The 22603-nt window shown below is 34.1% G+C and overlaps 1 protein-coding gene across 5 annotated transcripts in view, besides 1 other annotated feature; it reads right to left on the bottom strand.

The window, feature by feature from the left end:
* The window catches only part of BMP5 (bone morphogenetic protein 5), a 121938-nt gene extending 104068 nt beyond the window's left edge, over positions 1-17870 (bottom strand). For all 5 annotated transcript variants that reach the window (NM_001329756.2, NM_001329754.2, NM_021073.4 and 2 more), the window contains exon 1: positions 16656-17870. In NM_001329756.2, the coding sequence (NP_001316685.1) occupies positions 16656-17145 (490 nt within the window). In that variant the 5' untranslated portion in view covers positions 17146-17870. The remainder of the gene's footprint in view (positions 1-16655) is intronic.
* Positions 2412-2601: a silencer, noted in NCBI's record as "fragment chr6:55724930-55725119 (GRCh37/hg19 assembly coordinates)". NCBI's record gives its function as "represses an EF-1alpha promoter that drives an FKBP-Casp9 reporter gene in an ReSE screen in K562 erythroleukemia cells {active_cell/tissue: K562}" and the evidence as "EXISTENCE:reporter gene assay evidence [ECO:0000049][PMID:32094911]".
* Positions 17871-22603: the final 4733 nt, after the last annotated feature.

Below are 22603 nucleotides of genomic sequence, written 5' to 3' on the forward strand. Positions count from 1 at the left end.
AATGACAGCTTTATTTATTTATTTTTGGTTTTTTTGAGACAGAGTTTCACTTTTCTTGTCCAGGCTGGAGTACAATGGTGAGATCTCGGCTCACTGCAACCTCCACCTCCCAGGCTCAAGCGATTCTCCTGCCTCAGCCTCCCAAGAGCTGGGATTACAGGCATGCGCCACCAGGCCTGGCTAATTTTTGTATTTTCAGTAGAGACAGGGTTTCACCATGCTGGCCAGGCTGGTTTTGAATGCCTGACCTCAGGTGATCCACCCACCTCGGCCTCCCAAAGTGCTGGGATGACAGGCATGCACCACCACACTTGGCCAACACCTTTTAAACAGTGTTATAAATGAGGTATTACATCTCTGCCATCCAAATTATTCTTTGCTCATATATACTTGAGCGTTTTATAATTAAGTTATAGAAGGTTATTTGAACATCAAGTTATTTAGACCAAATCTATTTGCTCACCTCATTTAATTCTAAAACTCTAACTCCTTGAATATTATAAACACCTCATTCTTCTCAATTTTTTTTCAGCAATTACCTATAGGATGACTTTGAGCAATTATTTTCAAAATAGAATGTTGACGGTATGTTTTTAAAATTCTTAAATATCTGGAAATGTCTTCACATGACTGCTATTTACAAATAATGAGTTGAGTTGGCTGAAAAGAGATCAAAGCAAACAACAGAAAAAAAAGTAAATAATTATTAACACCTAGTCACAGGAGGAATTTCTAAGCATAAGCTGCAAACTTAAAACTCCCCAAAGAGAAAATATAAAAGATTAATAAATCTCAGAAGAAACACAAATAAAAGAGTATGTTTTAGATTATCAAGAATGGAAATACATAATATTAATTCAGGTTTCATTCTGGTAAAATAATACTAACGTTTACACTCATACAAACAGAAATTGAAACAAATTTACTGAAAAGCAATTTAGTGTATTTTTCAGGAGGCTTAAACGTGTATTTATTGCAGCACTATTTACAATAGCAAAGACTTGGGTCCAACCCAAATGCCCATCATTGATAGACTGGATAAAGAAAATGTGGCACATATACACAATGGAATACTATGCAGCCATAAAAAAGAATGAGTTCACGTCCTTTGCAGGGACATGGATGAAGCTGGAAACTAACACAGGAATAGAAAACCAAACACTGCATGTTTTCACTCATAAGTGGGAATTGAACAATGAGAACATATGGACACAAGGAGGGGAACATCACACACTGGGGCCTGTCGGCGAGTAGGGGGCAAAGGGAGGGAGAGCATTAGGATAAATGCATGCGGGGCTTAAAACCTAGATGATAAGTTGATAGGTGCAGCAAACCACCATGGCACATGTATATCTAGGTAACAAACCTGCACGTTCTGCACATGACGTGTATCCCACAACTTAAAGTAAAATTTTAAAAAAAAAGTTTAAAAAGGTATAGGATAGCAAGTGATTTAGCAGTGATATTGAAACACTGGTTAGTTTCAATTATCAGTGTTCCTGGGTTCATTTTCCTCAGGAACTCCTCAATGTAATTCTGTGTAAATGCATTAAAAAAGGTCACACCTTTTGCTCTAATAATTCGTTTTCTAAGAACAGACTCTAAAAAACTGGTCAGGAATGTTTAAGAACATATGAGTAAAAATAGCTATTGCAACACAGCACACAATAGTAAAAACTAAAAAAATTGCATGCCCAATAATAAAATACTGTTTATGCAAATATGACAATGAATTGTCTAGCTGATATTATTCAGTCATCAAAAATATATTCATAAGGAGAAAATGAACAAATGAGAAAACTCAAAAACTTAAAAATCAAGAATTAAGTAAGGGTACAACCTTACATAAACAGTTCAACTATACAAAAAGGTGTATTTTTAAAGTATAAGAGGAAATGTACAAAAACATCAACAATAATTGGCTCTAGATAATGGAATTGTAACTTTTTTCCTGCTCCTTTTTAATTTGACATAAAAGTGACTACAATGTCAACAAATTAAAGTATCATAACGTTCTGTTTGCTGTATTTCCAGAATGGCTTTTATAAACAGTCCTTCTCCATAAAGGAAAGTTTCTTCCAAATACCAATGATCAATCATGTTAAACACTGTAACTTATATCCTCCTTGCAGAGATTCATAATGCTCATTAGCATAATAAACACACTGAGGAATCCTGTCCTGAAAACATAAGAACCTATTGAATTAGTTTCTTTGCATAGTTCAAATTTATTTGGCCACAAAATTTCAGACAACACCTCTGAAAAGGACAGAGAAATGTTTTGGTGGCTCATGCCTATAATCCCAGCACTTTGGGAAGCTAAGACAGGCAAATCTCACAAGCACAGGATTTGAGACCAGCCTGGGCAATATAGGGAGACTTCATCTCCAAAACAATTTTAAAAATTAGCCATGTGCAGTGGCATGGGCCTGTAGTCCCAGGTGCTTGGGAGCCTGAGGTGGGAGGACTGCTTGAGCCCAGGAGGTGAGGCTGCAGTGAGCCGAGATCACACCACTGACCTCCAGCCTGGGTAACAGAGCAAGATCCTGTCTCAAAAAATTTTTTTAAAAAGTAATGTTTTCAACGAAATTCATTTCAGGAAACCCTGACAAAGAACTCTGATTAAAAAGAGTAAATGATTGAAAGTGGCCAAGAGATTTGAATATAATTATAGTTAAGCACATGTTTTATCATATGTCAATGAAATTAGTCTAATAAAAATTAAATGTTTGACTTATTCATAAGTTCATCTGACTTCCTAAGCATGTCTCAGACTAAATAATTAGAAATCAGATATTAAGATCCTTCACACTTCTAGCATTACAATTGGGCTATTGGTAGATTGGGTACGAGTGGCTAAAGGTAAAGAGAGAGAGAGAGAGAAACAAAATAGAATTTTTAAGAAGCAGCAGGTGATGTCTTAAATGCTCATTTTTACTCTTAGCTACTTCTTGCCTTGCTTTTCAAAGCAGAGATTAGTTTTCAGTGTTTTAGCTAAACGTCAGTATGTTAACAACTGTACCTACTTTTCATAATTCATTGTTTGGTTCCCTCTGTTTGGTATTGGGAGCTGAGGATAGCCGGGTCTGAACTGTCCTCATGTACTTCTGCATTTTGCTTTGAGAAATTTTGTAGCTCCAGAAATATTTTCTTTTGGAAAACAAATATATCCCAAGTCCTTACCCTTTAATTCATAAAATACATAAGGAGCAGAAATAATATATTCAGCTTTTGTGTGATACAGGGGCAATGAGTGAGCTATGGAAAGAAACTCACTTTACACATGCAAGAGATTAGGGCTGTAACTGCTACAAATCAAAGGATGTGTACTAAATATGGGATGTTATTAAATATTATCTAGAACACAGAGGAGTTTCAGTCATGACTAGCAAGATGAAGCAGAAGTTATCTGTCAGTTTCTAGCTGCAGCAAGCAGTAGGAGATTCCTAACTTGTCAGCTGTAGATGTTCCTGCAGCCCAAACTTCCACTTTAGTAGGTTTCTACTAATTTGCTGGCCAATCCCCAGTGGGGTCAGAGAAGCTGAGGCAAGGCACTCATACTTAGCAGCATGGCAGCCCTGCTTATATGGCCTTCTAGACCGGCCAGCAGGTTGGAAATCACCCAGCATACAATTAAACTCACTAATACTTTATTCCAATCTCCAACCCTTCTTTTAAGGCCTATTACTATTTGCAACTTTGATATTTTACCTCTTTTCTATTTTGCCAAATGTTAATCTTGTTTATGCCAAATCTGTCTTTTAAAAGTGGGAATCAATAACACAGATCAATCTTTCCACTCCTCATTACTGACCAATTAGATTGTATGTCACAAATGTCAGTATCTTTGGTGTCTGCACAGTGCTTCTTTTCCTCTGTTTCATGAGTATTTGCCTCCTTTGGAAGGCCAGCAACACAACTCATCTATCAAAAGCCCGTAACAGTTGAACTCCAGGGAGTAGACTCTTGGTAAACTCATTATTACAGACTTTCTTCTAAAATATTTTTATTTCATTTTATGCCATTTTATGTCCCTTACTGATGAAGTGAAAATAGTGCAAATTCAATATATAATATGTTGGAAAGTATATAGAACTTTACAAAGAATTCAACACAGCAGCCTTCTCAATAGCATTGACAAAGGCAGCACAGCATATCAGTGAATAGCTTGAGCTCTGAATCCAGTTCTTCCTATTACAGGAAGTAGGACTTCGGACAAAGGACTTCAGGGTCTCAATTTCTTCATCTATAAAACTGAGTGACTTTATGAAAAATTAAAATGTTAGCACTTGAAATGCTATTTGCATGCTCTCTTGCACATCATAAGCACTACGCTAGCTGTAGCAAACAGAATATCCACTAGAGAAGAAATCATTAAGGTCTTAACTTCTTCCACTTCTATTATTTCACTTTTATGATAGAATGCTTTGTTGATGTGAATTGATAGGTGAACGCTAACAACTATGATGGTGTACCAGTACACTTATATCCATATTTTGATGCAATTTTTACTTCACAATCACAGTAAACTACCAGGAAAGAGTAAGGAAGTCATAGAATATTGGTCGATTTTTCTCGACAATCAACTTAAAGTAATCATTGCCCAATCCCCAATACCGTAAGTAGATTCAAGGAAATGTATGAAAGTGGTCCTTATACCAATTCTCAGAATCCCCTTTTATTTCAATTTATAATTGTATCTCCATTGACTATTATATCCTGAAACTACATTATGTTCAATGTATACAGTAGCAAAGTAAACATTGTATACAGTCTTGTTAGCAGTAAAATATGGGTGAAAATCTTTATCCATCACAATTGAAGAAGTAAGATAGGGCCAGAGGTAAGATTTAGACAGCTCCAACAACTTAATTTTGAAAAATTGAATGCTCTTGTATCCTTATTTCCTGAATACAACACAAACAATGAATGTTTGAGACACACTTATATTTTGGAATGTACAATTAGCATCCAGTGTAAAATATAAAACCTTCTTTTCGGATATTTCCTTGAAAGTCACTGGAGCCTCCATACTAATAATTTCCCAGAGCTACACAAGCAGGCTTCTAACAGACTCTCCAAGCTTTGCTGCGACTTGGTTTTACCTTTGCTCCAGTCTTTTTGGACTAAAAGGCTTCCATAGGTTCTGTCAACTGGTAACAGACTTTTAAAAAAAATTCTTTAAAGGGATTTTTGTTGGTGTTTTTAATTTTACTTGGTGCTAGATTTTGGGTGTGATTTATTTAAAGTATGTGACATTGAGCAAAGAAAAAAAATCCTGGCACAAGAATGAAGGATTCTGGGCCTGGACCTGGCTCCTTTGCCCTGTGATTTTGGCAGTAAAACAGGCACAGTCTTTCGCACAGTGTCTGGCCCAATAGTAGGTAATCAGCTTATATTTGTTAAATGACTGAATGAATGACCTTTCAGAACTCCAGTTTCCATAGATGTGTGTTGTGGGATCATATCTACTTCCTTGAGGGCTATATACTGCGGTAATTTAGATCAAACCACATAACGTATATAAAGATGCTTTTAAAAAATATAAGCCATTATTATTGTTGTTGTTAAAAGTTGTATACTTTTTAACTTCTTCAAAATTTTGTTACAAAGCAAAGAATAATGGTGAAGAATATAAAAACTGTCGCCAGAGCATGGCTCCAGTAATGATTCTGCCATTCACTAGCTGGGTGACTTTTATAAGTTATTTACCCTCAGAACACCCTCAATTTTTACATCAATACATTGGCAGAAATATATTTACCTATGGAATTAAGATGTGGATAAATTGAAATAACGCATAAAAATCACAGAGTCCAGTCTCTGCCATGGGAACTACATTTATTGTTGTTATTATTCCTTTAATTATCACTGCTACAACCATACTAAGACCTGAAAATTTTATATACGATAAGCAGCCACATAATGACAATGTTTAGGTCAACATGGATTGTATATATAACACTGGTCTCATAAGATTATAATGGAGCTCAAAAATTCCTATCATCTAGTGACATCATAGCCATCATAATGTAGCACAACCAATTACGTGTTTTCAGATATGTTTCAATAAACAAATACTTACCATGGTGTTACAATTTCCTACAGTTTTCAGTGCAGTAACATGCTATAGAGGTGTGTAGCTTAGGAGCAATAGGCTTTACCATCTAGCTGAGGTGTTTAGTAGGATATGCCATCTAGGTTTGTGTAAGTACACTCTATAATATTGGTACAGTGATGAAATCACCTAAAGAAACGTTTCTCAGAAGGTACACCCCCATTTTTAAAGATGCATAACCGTGAATGCATCACACATATAAAAAAAAAGCTCACTTAATTCTGATAAATAAAATTATTCCTCAATGTAAATTACTGAAGAATGATAACTTTTAATGTAAAGTGTAAAGAGAAAAACCTTAAATGGTGGTTCGAATATATCAATAAATATGTAGCTGGAATCTGTACTTATTTTAATAACTACCCATCACAATTAAAAATCTAGCAGTAATTATCACTACGATTTGAGTATGTCCTCTCCTAAGCTCATGTTGAAAGTTGATTCCCAATATGGCAGCGTTTGGAATTGGAACCTTGTGAAAGGTGCTTGGATTATGAAGGCACTGCCGTTATGAATAGATAAATGTCATCTTGTGGGAGGGAGGGAGTTATTGGTCGCCTGGGAATGGATTAGTTCCCTTGAGAGCAGGCTGTAATAAGTCCAGTCTCTCTTGTGTGTCTCTGCACATACTCACGTTCCCTTCTACTTTCCACCAAGAGTTAAAACAGCATGAGACACTCATCGAATGGGCTGCCTGATCTTAGATTTCTCAGCCTCCTGAATCATGAGCCAAACAAACTTTTCCTTATAAATTACTCAGTCTCAGGTATTGTGTTACATCAACACAAACAGACTGAGACATCATATTAATGACTTATCTTCCAGCATTTTATCAAATAATGAGAAAACAATAAATCTATGTTTTCCCACTCAATATATAATGAAATATCAAAAATCAATGTGATGATTTTACAATGTGCATCCTGTAATAGAAGATGTCCACAGTTTATGTATGGCCTTTTGTGTGGCTTTGGAGACCAAACAAATACATTTTCATCCTGTTTAAAAAATTATAAGTTATTATAACAACTCAAGATAATTAACAAAAATATTTAATAGCCGCATCTGAAAAAAAAAACCCAAACAAATCGTCGAGGAAAGTCACAATACTTAAGGCTGAATGGTATTAAGTAGAAACAAAATTATAATAATGATTTAAGTAGTAATGAGAATAGCTGCAAATTATAAATCATAAATTCAGACATGATTTGAGTTACAGACAATACTGAAAGCTCCAGGATTGAAAGATTATTTGAACAGAGTGACTTTCCTGCTTAGAGTTTAAAAGTTTATACACCTAAATTTTCATCATGAATCAACTTCTTAAAAATTAAAACCCTCAAAGTGAGTTGACTTATGAAAATAAGCATTAAAAACTTTTCATTTTTTTTTTACATTCTTTCAAAGGGTTCTTTATAGACTGTCCATGTCTTTACAATCAAATATCTTCTAATTGTATATTACTACCTTGGCTTCTAATTAGTTTCCCCTCCTTAACAAGCAAGGAAATGGAACAGGTAATATCTAAAATTAAAGTAAAACCATGGAATAGTTCTAGGACTCTGACCAAAGGTAGTATGAAAAGCACCTTTCAGCAGCTAATCACAGAAAATGTTGCTTTTGGGTCCTCAGAGGAAAGCACCACAGTCCGTCTCATGAAGGCTCTGACATAGACTGACCTTTTCCAAAGCACTCTAGTGGGGGAACAGAGTCCATCAGCTGTCCAGCTTGAAGAAAGAGTCAATGAAATTCAAGGTTTTTCTTTTAGACAGAGGAAAAATTATGTGCATAATGTTTCAGAATTTCAGCAAGGCATTTATTTGACAAAGTCTTGTAGGCTGAATGTAGATTTCCTCTAACATTAGATCTCCATAGTATATTCTAGTAGAAATAGTTGTAATAGCAGTTGAGACCATTAATTTAGTATTTGTCTCATGTAGGCTCAAAAGTCTAGGACCTTACATTATACAGTCTTAACTCCAATTCTGTATTATGAGCTCCACTTAGATGAGGAAATAGTTTCAACGAAGTGAAATGGTTTGCTCAAGGATACGCAGCTGGAATTCAAACCAGTCTGGCTCCAAAACCCTAACACTGAAACCCTACTAAAACAGTTAAGGGAGAACCAAATGACCCTTCTTCACCCAGAGCAAAGAATACATCTACAAAAATTTTGACATAAAGCATATTTAATTAATAACCTTCATTGCTTCCCCACTAGATAAATAAGTCTTTTGTGTGTCTGCATCAAGGTTATTTGCAGAAGAGCCTACACAGTTTCTGAGTTGCACCCTCTCTTCCTCTTTTAATAATTATATAAGTGAAATTTCCAACTGTAGCAAATTTGATGGAAAACACAAACTGTACTGGAAAGGAGTTGTTCTATTCAGTGTTTCTCTGTGATTGAAGGGCAGGGAGTGGCTCTGGCCTCAAGGTTTAGTGCTTGATTATTTATGAGAACTAAATAGCTGACATACCTGCTCCACTACTAAATTCTGCCTCTCTGAGTCACAGATGGTCTGCCAGAGGAGAATAAAGGTAGCAAAGAAGAAAGACAATAATCCCTATCTACCTCATTCTAACATTATTTATGCCTGCAACATTAACTATGGAATGCGAATGCTGCATGTGAGAATATCATATGATTCCACTCAGAATTCAAAAAAGCTTTAACACACAGTCGTGGATCATCTCAGGAGGTATGGCATACAATTGACAATAAACAGGGATTTGAAAAATATATTGCTCTTCATTTTGCTCTACATACTTGCATATATTCTTCTCGTTCCCATACTGAATTTTTTCATTGGCAATTGCAGTCCGCAGTTCATATTGTGATCTGAAAGTGCTGCTTTTTCTTGTTTTAGGGGCTTCTGTTTTCTGGGTAATTTTTGTTTCTTAATTTCAATTTTCTCTAAAATGGTTTTAATATATCACCTGAAATTATTGACCCATGTACAATTTAAGGATTTTTTCTTTCAGCATGCCATGCTTATATTTACCACTTTATTTCACCAACTCCTGAAGTAATTATCTCTCACACTAAATTATTATTCTCTCTTGAATTTTACTATAAATTAACTAAATAATACAAAGATTAACATATATATCAGTAACTTGCACTGAAATTGAAGTAATTCTAGAACACTTGCTGACTAAACAACCAATGTTTATTTATCTACTTGTGCCAAATATCTTCCATTTGTACCTCAAGATCCACTCTCCACATTTCCCTATTCTGCTATTCTCACCAAAAGACTAACTTTTAGGAACTGCACCAATGGGTTCTGTGGCTCTCTGGCTTTCAGTGAGGGTGAACCAATGGAAGACCAAAGCATATGGTCTGGGTATTTATCCCTTGGTATCTGTATCCCCCCCGCTGAGTATCTAAGGATTAGATGCATGGCATCTTTCTCCCAATGCCACAGTTTCTGTCAGGGCACCTTCCCCACATATCTCTCCTCTGAGCTTTCTGGTAACTATGCCCCCTGCCCAGGAGTAGTGAAGGCTACCCTGCCATCCCAAGATACTATATGATCCCTTGTTTTGCTGCAACAAAACAAAACAAAACCTCTGCCCACAACACTATAAACATTATAACATCATTTAAACTCTCCTAAATAATTCAGTTTGCACATTCTGTCTCTTTTCTTCTGGAAATGCTGATACATCTCAGTGGGTGGGGCAGGCGGGAAGGGATGAATGGGACATGGTTTCTGTTGCCACAACATGTAATCAAACATGTAGGACTAGCATCACGGGCAAGTGACCTGCGCAGTTGCACAGGGTCCCGGGCTTAGAAGGGCCCTGCTCTTGGTGTAATACTCTGCTGCCACCATCTTGAAATTCTTAATAATTTTTGAATAAGGGGCTTGCATTTTCATTTGCATCAGGGTCCACAGATTATGTAGCTGCTCATGCAGATTATCTCAACATTCATCGAGGAAGGTGATCTTATTATCTGCACTTTTTAGATAAGCAACCAGACGCACAAATAATTTAAATAACTTGCTCAAGTTCACGCTGCTAGTAAGCGTGGAATATGGGATTCCAATCCAAGCATTCTGGCTTCCTGTATACTACTCTATTTCTGCCATGGAAGCACAGAAAAGAAAGCAACTAAATTTAATTTATAATTGAACTTTAAAGTCATGTGAGCAGTAATATGCCATGAACTGAAGATTCTGGAGATGGCTGTGTCTCCTATATAGAAAGGGTAATCACAGAGTCAGAACAACAAATAACATTGAACTTTTCATGTCATTATAGCATTAAAATAGCTGAAGGATTTTGTACATGTTAATAAATCTTTTCTTGATTTAGACATGTGTTATAGTCCTGAATAAAATCTAAATAGGATTTACATCTGTTGATCCTGACATTTTAAAACTATTTTCTTTATTCCTAACAACTCCAGGAAACCTGTTTAACAAGAACAATAAAAGTTGCTAATTTTTTTTCTAGAAAGAAATTGAACAAACACAATATTGAAGACAAGGATCTTCATTGTCTTAGAAGTCATAAAACAGCACAACCTCCAGTTTAATTTCAACATCCAACTATTCAGAATTATACAAGGTTTTAGTTTCTAAGAGTTATGTAATATGTATTTAATTCACTGCCTTCCAAGCCGAGGTTAATGCATTCTTTTTGATTTATGGGGTTTTTTGTTTGTTTGTTTTTGTTGTTTTTTTCTCCCCAAACCACTAAAGACCTTTCTTACTAATCTACAAATAGTATTTTTTTCTCTTTTTAAACATTGTACATTTTCATAGATTTTGTTTCTGCCTTTTAAAATTATCATTTATCCACAGCTTCTTGGTCAAGACTCATACAAACTAGGTGTTACTACTACTTGGTTATGCAGATTGTTTTAAACATCTCTGAAAAAGTCAGGTGAATACTCCACCATTATTTTTATCTTACTGTCAGACTTTGTGAGCTGAATCTTAAACATCCCAATCTGACATCAAAATCAAAACAGATCCCTTTTTCCTCTAAATAAATGAGCTGTTTGTCAGGGCTGACTAGTGTGTTTTAAAGGATATCTTAGCCAAGGGTATTATTTTAAGAGATGAGCAAATGGGGAAACCCCACGGCCCAGCCAATAAAATATGAACTTAAGGTGCAAAGAAGCACTCATAAATATTACTTAGAACAAGGGATTCATTGTTTCTCTCCAACCCTTTCAGTGGTTCCTCTGATCTCAGCCCCTCTCCTGTGCGTCAGGGAAGCCTCTTCCTTTAACCTGTGGTTTTTTAAAGCTGAGCTACTACATTATTTATGACTGTAAATGTGAGTAGCTTGTCTGTATGCTCCTTGTACACACATACTGAGACAACCCCCTCCTTCCCCACTTCGGTATTTTAGTGTGTAAGGATGAAAGGGTTTTCCCCTCGAGCTGATGTGGTTGGGGATGTTGAATTAGCTGCTGTTTGGTATGAGGTAGACTGAGGATTTCCCAGCATCTCCTCCACCTGTACAACTGAAAAACCAGCCTTTAATGACTCATTTCATTCCTTTTCTTTCTTTCAGGCTCTTTTTCAAAAATATTTTCTTTCTTTCTCTGTCTCATCCTTATTCCTGTATGCCTCTATATCTCACTCTTCGTCTCTTTATTCTTTCTCATTATCTCTTTTCAAAAAAAAATAATTTCTTCATGGAAGTGACAGAATATTAAATAAGGATAATAAACACAAAAGCTTTTTATAAACTAAACAGGAATGGCATGTTTGATGAGTGTTATTTTTGTTCATTGTTGATTTCTTTTTCTTTCTTTTACTTTTCTTGAAATTTTCCCTTTTAAATGTTATTTTATAAAATAAAGGCAAAACACAATTAAATTCTGTCAATGGGATCCTTAGGGAGAGATGAGGAGGCAAAGAAGAATGGGATGATGGAGAAACAATTACAGGGGATGGCAAGAGCCAGGGCAGCTCTGATGCCCTGGGGAGCTTTTCTCCCAGTGGGTGGAGGCTGCAGTTGGCACATCATAACCTTTTCCTTCTCAACTGGAGAGAAAACAGGAGAGTGTACCTCAATTCTCAAACTGTAACTAATTGATTTTCAACTAATTTAAGCCTCTAGCAAACCAGGACGAAAGGCAGACCCCAGGAAGTGTGGGAGTGGTAAGGAGAGGGGTGCCAAGAGAGCCTGGGGCTACAGAGACCAAGAACAAGGAGGAAAGGCCAAAAAATACTGGGATGAGAAGGGAGGAGGGAGAGTGGTGATATTACAGAAAATGGAAGAATGAAAGGGAAGGAGAGGTGGCAGCTGAGGCAGTCCCAAGTCCTTCTTAGTTCCAGCTAATACGTCTCATTAAACTTTTAAAATTTGATATTTGTGAGTAACCACTACAATTTGAAAAAAAAAAAAAAAGCATTTAATTAAACTATGATTATAACTATCTCTGGCAACCCAGAGTTTGTCTGTCATGCCAATCACTTGATAATCAACCATCTTTAAAGGAGAAAAAGAATCCCGTTGGTCGTGATTATGAATGTGAAGTGTTGTTGAAGAAGAGAGAAAAAGGTCTCCTCACTCAGCAATATTTTTCTCTTCAAAAGTTAAAACTTTTACAGAATGATTGTTGCTTTACCCATTATTAGCATTAGTTACTCCAGGCATAATTTATGAATATATACTATAATGGCTTTATATTATCTTTCCTTCCAACCCATCCCCCTTCAAAAAAAACTTCCATGTGTTTATGGGTGTGTTTATGTTACACAAGTGTTAATAACTCTGTTGGAGAGACTACATAGATAGGCATCTTTAGGTAGATTTGTATATAAATTACTTTCCACTGGGCACTTGATTCAGCCAAAAACAATAATAAATTATCAATGATGTCTTTCAAATCTGTCAACTGAGAACATAAAGCATTTTTTCCTTCCAGTACCAAGAGAACTTAATGATTAGGGTAAGTAGGCAAAAAAGGTTTAGTTTTTGAAAGCGTTTTTCTTTCATGATAACAGACTAAATATGTTTTTATATTTAAAAAATTTAACAACACATTTAAATACTTTTGTGCTTGGAATTAAAACGTATTCTTGAAATACATCTAAGAGAAAAACCATTAATAAACTCAAAGTTCAACTTTTTCCAGAGGAATATGTAGATACAAAGAATAATATAAAAGTAATTTTCCTGTTTTTACTTCCTCTAAAACATCTAGTGTTATGTCATTATGGTGATAATGTCACCAAGTAATCAAATAAAATTGGCTTCTAACTAAAAGATCTTAGAAATACACTACATGTTTTATTTGTGTAAACAAGAGATAAATATTGTAAGCAAATTATCTAATCATGTCTTTAACTTGTACTGGTATTTAATACATATACTAACACTTAGCACTTTTGACAAAGAGATGGTTAAAAAAGAAAATAAAACTAAACAGAAAAACATTTTTATTACTAACAAAATAATATTATATTGACCAAGCAAAAGTTCCACTGATATTCAACAGTTTTAGGGAAAAAGCAAAGAATTCAATCTGTAAAATTTAATACTATGAGACTGATAAAAGTGGCCTAAGAATAATGAATATGATCGAAGGAATATTTCTCTTCACACAGTTAATAATTTATATTTGTTTCTTCAAAATAAACGAGTCACTAAAATAAAGGTTAAAATGATATGTTTGGTTTCATATTCAGATGTCTGCATGCCTTAGGCAATTTATTTACTTTTTATTTTGCTTTTAGTAAATTCAAATCTATTTTTCACTTATGAATATAAAGCTAATCTCATCTGAATTTTAAACAGTAGGTATTCTGTTAAACATGATTCTGAGTTTGGATTAAGTTTAATTGTTCTTCGTGACCAAAACTATGTTGAAAAAAGAATTTCTGAATGGCAAGGTACCTGTGGAAAATCCATTATTTGACTTGAAAAGGACAACACACAAGCATTTTTTAAAAGGATGCTACTAGATCCTTTTTATATAATTCTTCTAATTATGGGAAATGTCAACAGATTCTTTTCACATATTTAAATATCCAGGTGACTTCCTCAATACAAATCCCTTGCCTACTACTAATGTGACTCATTTGTACTTAGTCTCAACTATATGCATGTCTTTTAAGACAGTGAAAAAATAAAATCTAATCCTTTTTAGTCTTATAAGAACATGAAATAAACTACAGGTAATATTTGCTAACGGATATTACATTTAAAAAGCACTGGCACTCTTATTGCAGCTAATAATGTTATTACACTTTCACCTTTTCTGAGTATGCTTATTTATTTATTTGATTATAAAAGAAATGCAAAAGTTGAAGCTTTTTACTAAGCAGTGATCAACTATAAATCTTGAATGTATTTGAAGGCATGATCAAAGGATAATTAAACTGTGGTTTAATTTTCCTTAAAGTCTACCAAGAAAAACTCACCTAGTATCAGAATCAGTTTGTCAGTAATTTCATGTAAGACATTTAGTTTGGAATTATTAAATAAAGAAGAAACAACATAGTTTGTTATTGAATATAAAGCACTACTCAGAAGTTCAAGCATGATAAAAATAAACACACAGTTTCTCTAAAGCTTATAGCTAATATTGTTTCTCTAGAGTCAAATGAATAATTGTATTTCTTCATATAGGCAATAAACTAATAAACTGCTATGTTATTATAATCTGAACAATGTAACCAAAATGTCATTTATTTTTAAATGTGTTTCTCAATAATAAAAAAGTTATAGGAATCAATGAATAAAACTATTATTGGTTTTGACTTTCTTACTCTATGTAGATTTATAAAAAGTAAACACATAAATCCAAAAATCATGCTTACACTTCTCTTGTGAATGATCAGAGCAATTCTAATAAAATATATTATGACATTCATGACTGAGCTATCGTTTATTAAAATATGTAACATACATATGCTTCTTTGTCAGATTTTAGATGATATGACCTGATTTTCTCAATGGTTTATGAATATATAAATTTTGCTAGGTTGAAATTTTTCTATTAAAATATTTAAACTACTTTAAATTCTTGAATAATACTTTAGAAATGTTACAAAGCAAAATGTACCACAAGCTACACTTGCATATCCCTTATACTAGGTAAAAGCAATCACATTAATTTGAAATTAAGCTATATTTTAATGACTAAAAAGTTCCATGTGAAGTCTGTTAATTATACGTAGAAGAAAAGGCCTCCAGGACACCTGATTAGTGCAACAAATTATGACTTACTCACTTAATAATGAGACCTTTGTCTCTAGCAACATAAAACGTACGATTTATTAAGTACCTTATCCTTCATGCTAGGATTGCTAAGAGCAAATGAGCAGAGTATATTAAGCAACATATATTATAAAAGCATCCATGTGTTATTAAGATTTGTTGATAATCTGACTTTTCAAAGAATATTTCCTTTGAGATGTTACATGAGGAAGTTTTTAATTAAGTGTTTAATAAAACATGTTAATTTTAAGTCAAAGCAGATTGCATTTTTAAAACAAAGTTCTAAAAGCTATAACATCATAAAGTTCTCAATTCTTCCCAGTGGATTAAATTTGTTGATAGAGTTTTTAATCTTCAAACATAAAATATATTCGATGTTATTTTCCTTTGACTGCCAGAGATAGTAAATTTCACCTTCAATTTTTACTAAAACATTTAAAGAAAACAACAGCCCTTATAAAATAATTTGAAATTGGTAATCCATAATATTATTGTGAGAGGGAATATTGGGAACTAAATTATCATTTGACATTATCAGTATTTAAAAACCACCATGAAGTACCAGCTACAACTAAAACATAATTTTAAAATTTTCTCATTAATATTGTTGTGGTTTACAGAAAATTTCAAATATTTTATCTCATATAGAAGGAAAATTTTGTATAGATAAAGACCACTAAAGCATGTTTTACATTTTTCTTGCCTGTGAAAAAAATCAAGTAGCTATAACATACTTTACTCATTACAGTTAAGAACTGTTAGATTGAAACTTTATTTCTGAAATATTTACTATAGAATTTCAGAATCCCTTCCTTGATTCCTTGATAGTAATCTTTTATGGTGCTATTCAATCTTGGTTAATTTTACCTCTATATTTTTACAGTAGTTGCCTCCCCTAGATGAGAGATTTTTAAGTAGTATGTGAATATATACTTACATGTGCTTTAAATCACTTAAAAAAAAAGTGCTTCCGAATGTCACTTTTACTTTCCCATCTGTAAGTGCTTCTTTTTTTTATTGTTGCCCATAGCATAGCTATCCTCATAAATTTCCCTGTTTTTAGACTATTGCCTTTGCATTCATATATTTAAGCGAGGTTGAAATTTTAACAAGATCTGAAAAGACCCACACTATAAGTGTTTAAATTTAACTATTCATATTAAATATATATATATGACTTTTTGCCTAAGGCATCAATGAAAGAAAGAAAACAGAAGCTAAACAGGAGAGTTAGAGAAAATGTCTTTATATAAACATGACCACCTACCAAGCAGCTCCTTTACCATTAGGGAAAACTTCCACTTTGTAATAACATAGATTAACAAACAAATGAACAACATACCTAAGTTGACAAAGCTCATGACCATGTCAGCATCATTCAGAAAGTTGGTATCATGGAGGCTGGCTAGAGGAGGACTCTGGGTGGTCAGAGGAGTCGTCCGAGATAACTGTATGCGACGAGGATACCCATTGGGAGAGGCTGGGTATCCCTTTCTTGCCCCTCTGGTCTCTTCTGCCAAGGATGCCCTTACTGAGTACTCCGACTCTTCAGGATTTTCTTCATTGGTCATGGCATTGTAGAGATCCAGCATAAAGAGAGGTGCAGAGGACGCTTGTTTTCCAGGTGAAAATGGTCTGGGTCTGTGAGGCAAACCCAAGATAGAGAGAATTTCCCTTTGTATTTCCCGTCTTTCGTGGTTCCGTAGTCTTCTATAAATAAAACTGGAGTGAACATGATTGTCTCCCAAACCTCCTTTTGCATAACCCACTAGAACCCAGCAGCTCCAGAGGAAACCCACAATACCCTTAAGTAAAAATACAGTCAGATGCATTTTTGTCCAAAAGCAAAAGTTGATATTTTTAGTCCTTCTTGTCCTCTTAAAAAAAAAAAAAACCTAAGGTTCTAGGAGGTACAGTTTCCCAGTAGCTGAAAAAACAAATTTACCTATTTTTCATGACAGTGACATTTCTGAGCACAACATCCTCACCGATTTTCCTGTCCTATTTTAAATATTTTGGAATATGTCAAGAGTAGTTATTTCTAAGAAAGCTGAAACTCAGATTTCCAATTATCCACAGTTGTTAAGAGTTTTTGCTGCATTGATGTAGCAGAAGACGGCTAATATTATTTGATCAGATGACCTATGCATTCCTATATGAATTTATGATAATCAGGCCTTTGGTATTTGAATTAGCAAAAGTTGATCTTCTGATAAACTGTAGTTCCCAAAGTAATCTTCACTTGCTTTTGAGTTCTTCTCAACCCTTGAGCTCTTTCCAAAACAAATCCTGATTTCTGAATCACAGATCTATGCTGATCTGCACCTTGGTGTTGGAATATATATCTGTCCGGCAGCTTGGTGATAACTTTAACATCTTTTGTGTCGTCTTAGTGTAAAATAATACTCTAGGTTGTACTATTCAAGTAAATGTGTTTCCCTGAATTTACTTGAAATCCTTCCTGTAAGTCCATTCAATCCCTTTCTCCTTCTTACTGTTAATTCCACCTCCAGCAGGCACAAATATACCAGCCCTCTTCAAGAGAGATCTAAAGAGTAGTGTAAGCACAACCCTGCTGGGAAAGAAGAGGCTTCTCATTGTAATTTGAAACTGGTAAAGCAAAAAGAACTTAACCCTTTTGCTACCAGAAAAGTCTCCATTTTCACAATTTTATAACCACGCATCTAACATGAAACAGTGATGCATGGGACATACAAATTCTAGGGGAAATAAAAGGCAGTTTTCAAGTAGTACACTGAAAATTTTGCCATCCATTTTACATAGTACTTCTTTAGATCTTTTTTCAGTGACATGTACTTAATACACTTCTGTATTAAGTCTCAGGTTGTGCCTAAGTTAGCTTGATGAATCTCGGTTCTGTATTTGAGATTATTTCTAGTTTTTGTAAGTCATTAAAATGCACTTCTTAAAAAATAAAAGGATGAGTTGTAAATTGAGGTTAATTCACTGTTTCTTAATGACAGCCAGATCCTTTTAAAATAAAATACAGCAGACAATTAATCACTAATAAATATATTCTAGCTGCCAAAATAGTAGTTGTAATAATTCAATAACAGTAATTAGATAACCTAGCTTTAAGTGTCTTTAAGTATTAAAATTTTAAGCAGAAAGTTGAAATACAAATATCCTAAGATGTAGTGTCATGATTCATAACTTTTAAGTTATTTCAGTTGAAATATACACAGACTTACAAATTAGATATTTCCCATAAATTGTATTCAATACTTTGACTTGTTTTAACCCATGCAAATAAACACAAATCAAATCGTCATGACTACATGCAGATTGAAATTTGAGTTTTTAAAATTTGATGGGTAAAATGGGGAAAATGCACACCTTTCTAAAATACCATACTTAATCCAAGGAAATGAGCAAAGTATGTGTTTATCCTTAATGTTTAATGCCTTTAAAATTTGGAAGTCTACAATGTTTTTGTGCAGCTATAATTTTCCTTACAGGCTCTCACTTAACCTTAGGGCTCACAATACTTTCATTGTCTGGGATAGTATGCTGATACCAATGTAAATTTATCGAGCAAATTCTAGAGCTGTTATGAAATTTTAATGTTTTTCCTTTACTCTACCTAGAGGCGCCTGGTTTCTTGTTTCTTTTTAAATATTTCCTCTGAATGTATAAAGAAAAGTCATATTTCTTAGAAGTCTTCAGTTATTGGTGAATGCAGAATACTGAAAGGGTTTGCAGAATCTTATTGTACGCATCATTTTCTTATACAAAGTTATTGCACGAAAACTTGATGTTGCTATTTAATATTTGCTTTACTGAAATTTAATTATTAATAGTCATGTAGGATGCCACAGTAGCAGATGCAAATGCTGACATACATGCAACACCCTTGTAAAATAGATATCACAAAGAATAGCAATAGTGCAGGTTGAAAGTAAGTTAAGAAATACCACTTCAAAAAGAAATAGTTTAAATGGCTAAAATTCTTGACATTGCTTATTTAACATCCAAACCAAACTAAGAAACAAAGTCAAATCAATTACTTCAAGACAAAAAGTTTCTCTGCATTTACAAAACATCCTAGATAAAGCAGGCTACAGTTCTCAATATTTTAAAATATATCATCAAAGTTATGAATTTGCTTCATTTGTCTCTAGAGCACAGCATAGAGTTACAAAGTAAAAATTTACCACACTAGAGGAAGAAACAACTCTTACTATCTTCCATATGTGTGGATTTTTGTTCTAAGATACATGTGAAAAATAAAAATGAGACTAGGCATCACAAGTCTTAAAAACTCATTTTCCCAAAGCATGATTTATAATATCAATCAGTGTAATTATAATTTAATTGTTTCACCAGGCATATAGCCTACCTCTATATTGGAAATCAGTTGCTAGTATTCTTAGTCAGAATATTAAGTAATCACCCTTCCCGCCGACCTTCCCTTCCAACTCAGACTAGATTTGGCAAACACTCATTTTTCAAAAAGATCAACTTGTGCAGTGAGAGAAAGAAAATAAAGAAAAAGCCTTCCAGGAATAAAGAGGAAATAGTAATCGCCAAACAAAAAGTCAGATTCATTTTCAATTAAAAGTATATGTATTTTACTCCATCATTTGAATTCTCAGGTAGACTTGTATGTGAGAGCAATTTGAAGGATAAAGTATTTTGCAACTGAAAAGTATAAACATTCCAAATTTCAGAGTATGTATTTAAAGTTGTATAAGGCATTGAACATACGGAATAAGCATATGCTGAGAAAGAAGACATGGGGACAGGAAAAACACCCAGGGCATCACAAAAATTGTGTCTAAAGATAAGCACATTTCAAAGAAAAAAAAAAGGAGCCTTGTAAAAATCTACCTTTCACAATGTAGTATTTCCCTGGGTATATCCTAATGTTAGGAACCTTCTGGTAAGGAACAGAGACAATGCAATTCATGTAAGAAGTATTTCTGCACTGTCATTCTTTCTGATCATTTTTCTCTTTCCCTCATTAAAATCTGACACATTTCGTTCATTGATATATAAACCAACTATGTCCAATCAACCAATTTTTTTTTTTTTGGCTTTTTAAAAGAAACTTGCTCTGAAAAAATTTGAAGCGTTTAAGTCTGTTTTGCTCACAAGGACCTTTCTATTTCACTTTTGGCTTTTTGTTTTTGTGTTGTTTTCTCCTTGAAAACATTTCTCCTTTCTCTCTATTAGGAGAAAAATCTCCTAATATAAAGATATGACTGCAGCGAAAGACAAATACCCAATATAAATGGCATCTGCTTTCTAAATTGTCTCTCAAATTAAAACAAAATTCAAAATCCTTTGAATGTAATTATAAATCTTAAGCAAAAGCTGTCTTAGATTGTATTGGAGGGAGTAAGAGGAAAGGGTGGAGATAAGGCCACTTAGAATGTTGAAGAGGCTGGAAGCAGTGGGATAATTTAGGGAAGGTATCACGTTCTAGAATCTTTTTGGTGACTACATGGACAAATGCATAACAAAGCAGCATCTATAGTATTAAATTGCTTCAGTTCACTCTCTTTGAGTGAAAAACATATAAATAGAGAATATGGTGTGGTCCAAAGGAAGGCAGAGCAGTGCTACACCACTACCATCTGACTTAGATTTGCTTGTTATAACCTGAAAGGGAACTGTAATCACGGGCAGCATAGGCTTTTTGTCCATCTTGATTTCTAGTTGTTAAGGAAGTCTTGGAAATGCATAATAAAATACAGTCACCAAAAACTTTTGAAATGTTTGGTATTATTTTTCATGGATGGTGACATTGCCGAATAGTTTTAAATGAACAGAAGATTTTTCAATATGCTTCATATTATTACATGTTCCTAAGATTGTTTTTATATTATTTCTTGAGAGCAAATGTTATCCTATCAATAGACTTAAGGACATAAAATTATTATTTCAATGTAGTTATTAATCAAGGGAGATTTCTACTTTTTTTCTTGAGATTTTAACTGCAATGCAAACTGCATGAAAATAAGGGCAGAATTTATTTTGGTCACCGGTGTAAAGCAGTACATATTAGTGGCTCAGTTAATATTTGTATAACAGTCTATTTTCTTAGCAAAGATGAACAATATTCCAGGGAATTTTTTAAGGGCAGGTCTCTCTGAAGTGATAGTTATAAGGATTCCTTAAGCTGATGAGTTGATGAATTGCTGCATCTCTTAGTATGCAGCCCCCCTAACCTTCTAAAGTTTCCTTTCATAAAGAAACTTGCCAGTTACACATCTTACCCCAGAGTTTTGAATCTAACTACAAACTTCTGTCAATACTAGGCAATTGGAATAACTCAGAAGAGAAAGCATTATATAAAGAATTACATTAGAACTTGCAAAATACCTCGGTCTCTCATTACAAGGACAGCATATTGAATTAAAGTAGCCCTTGGCCCAAATGAGCAACTTCTACTCCTGTCAGTTAACACCTCATTCCTTTGCACTGTAATTGCTTATTGTATGTTTTGTTTTGTTTTGTTTTGTTGGTGCTGTTTTTATGACCCATATTACAATGCAAGAAGCCCTGAAAATGACCATTTTTAAGGAACATTAGCAATTAACAGCACACCTGCTAAGGCTCAGTAGGTACATGCAGACTTGAAACACATAGTAGACCCTGGGATGAGGTGGGGTCTGGAGCATGGAAGAATACACTAAAGGCATGTTTGTGAGTATCAAAGTAAATGCTTATAAGCCCACACTATTTATACTTTTGTAGATGGCTGACTCTAACTACAAGTATTTTACCAATAAGTTGACCAATTCAAAACCCGTGATAGTTCATGAAAGGCACGACTGCCAAGTTACCCCAAAATTCCCATTAACAGCAACTTGATCCTCAGAAGGAAGTAAAATCTATAAATGTCACTAGTCTGATATGTTCACAATGAGACAATTTAAAGAAAACTTAAAAATTATCTAATGCAAAATGGCCTTGATGGCAGACCTACTATTATCTGTAATGCTTTAATGAAATGGCCCTACTATTCCATAGCATTCTTTTTTCCTAGGAAGCAGATAATATTTTATAGGGTCTTCTTCAAAACCTTTAAGATAAATTTACAGCCTAACAAATTGGCCCAAGATATATGACAGAAATTGTCCATCAGGAACGTAAAGAACTTGTGTATACATCATCCAAGATCCATTAATATTCTGTGATATGAGAGGATATGGACTATCTGCTTCCTAAGACATAATACCCTAAGGAAATATAATAATGGGGAACATAACAATAATTATTAATATTCAAGCTGTACATGTAAATATCCCTCTAACACGAAGG

The sequence above is a fragment of the Homo sapiens genome, chromosome 6, assembly GCF_000001405.40.
Source record: "Homo sapiens chromosome 6, GRCh38.p14 Primary Assembly".
Classification (NCBI taxonomy): Eukaryota; Metazoa; Chordata; class Mammalia; order Primates; family Hominidae; genus Homo; species Homo sapiens.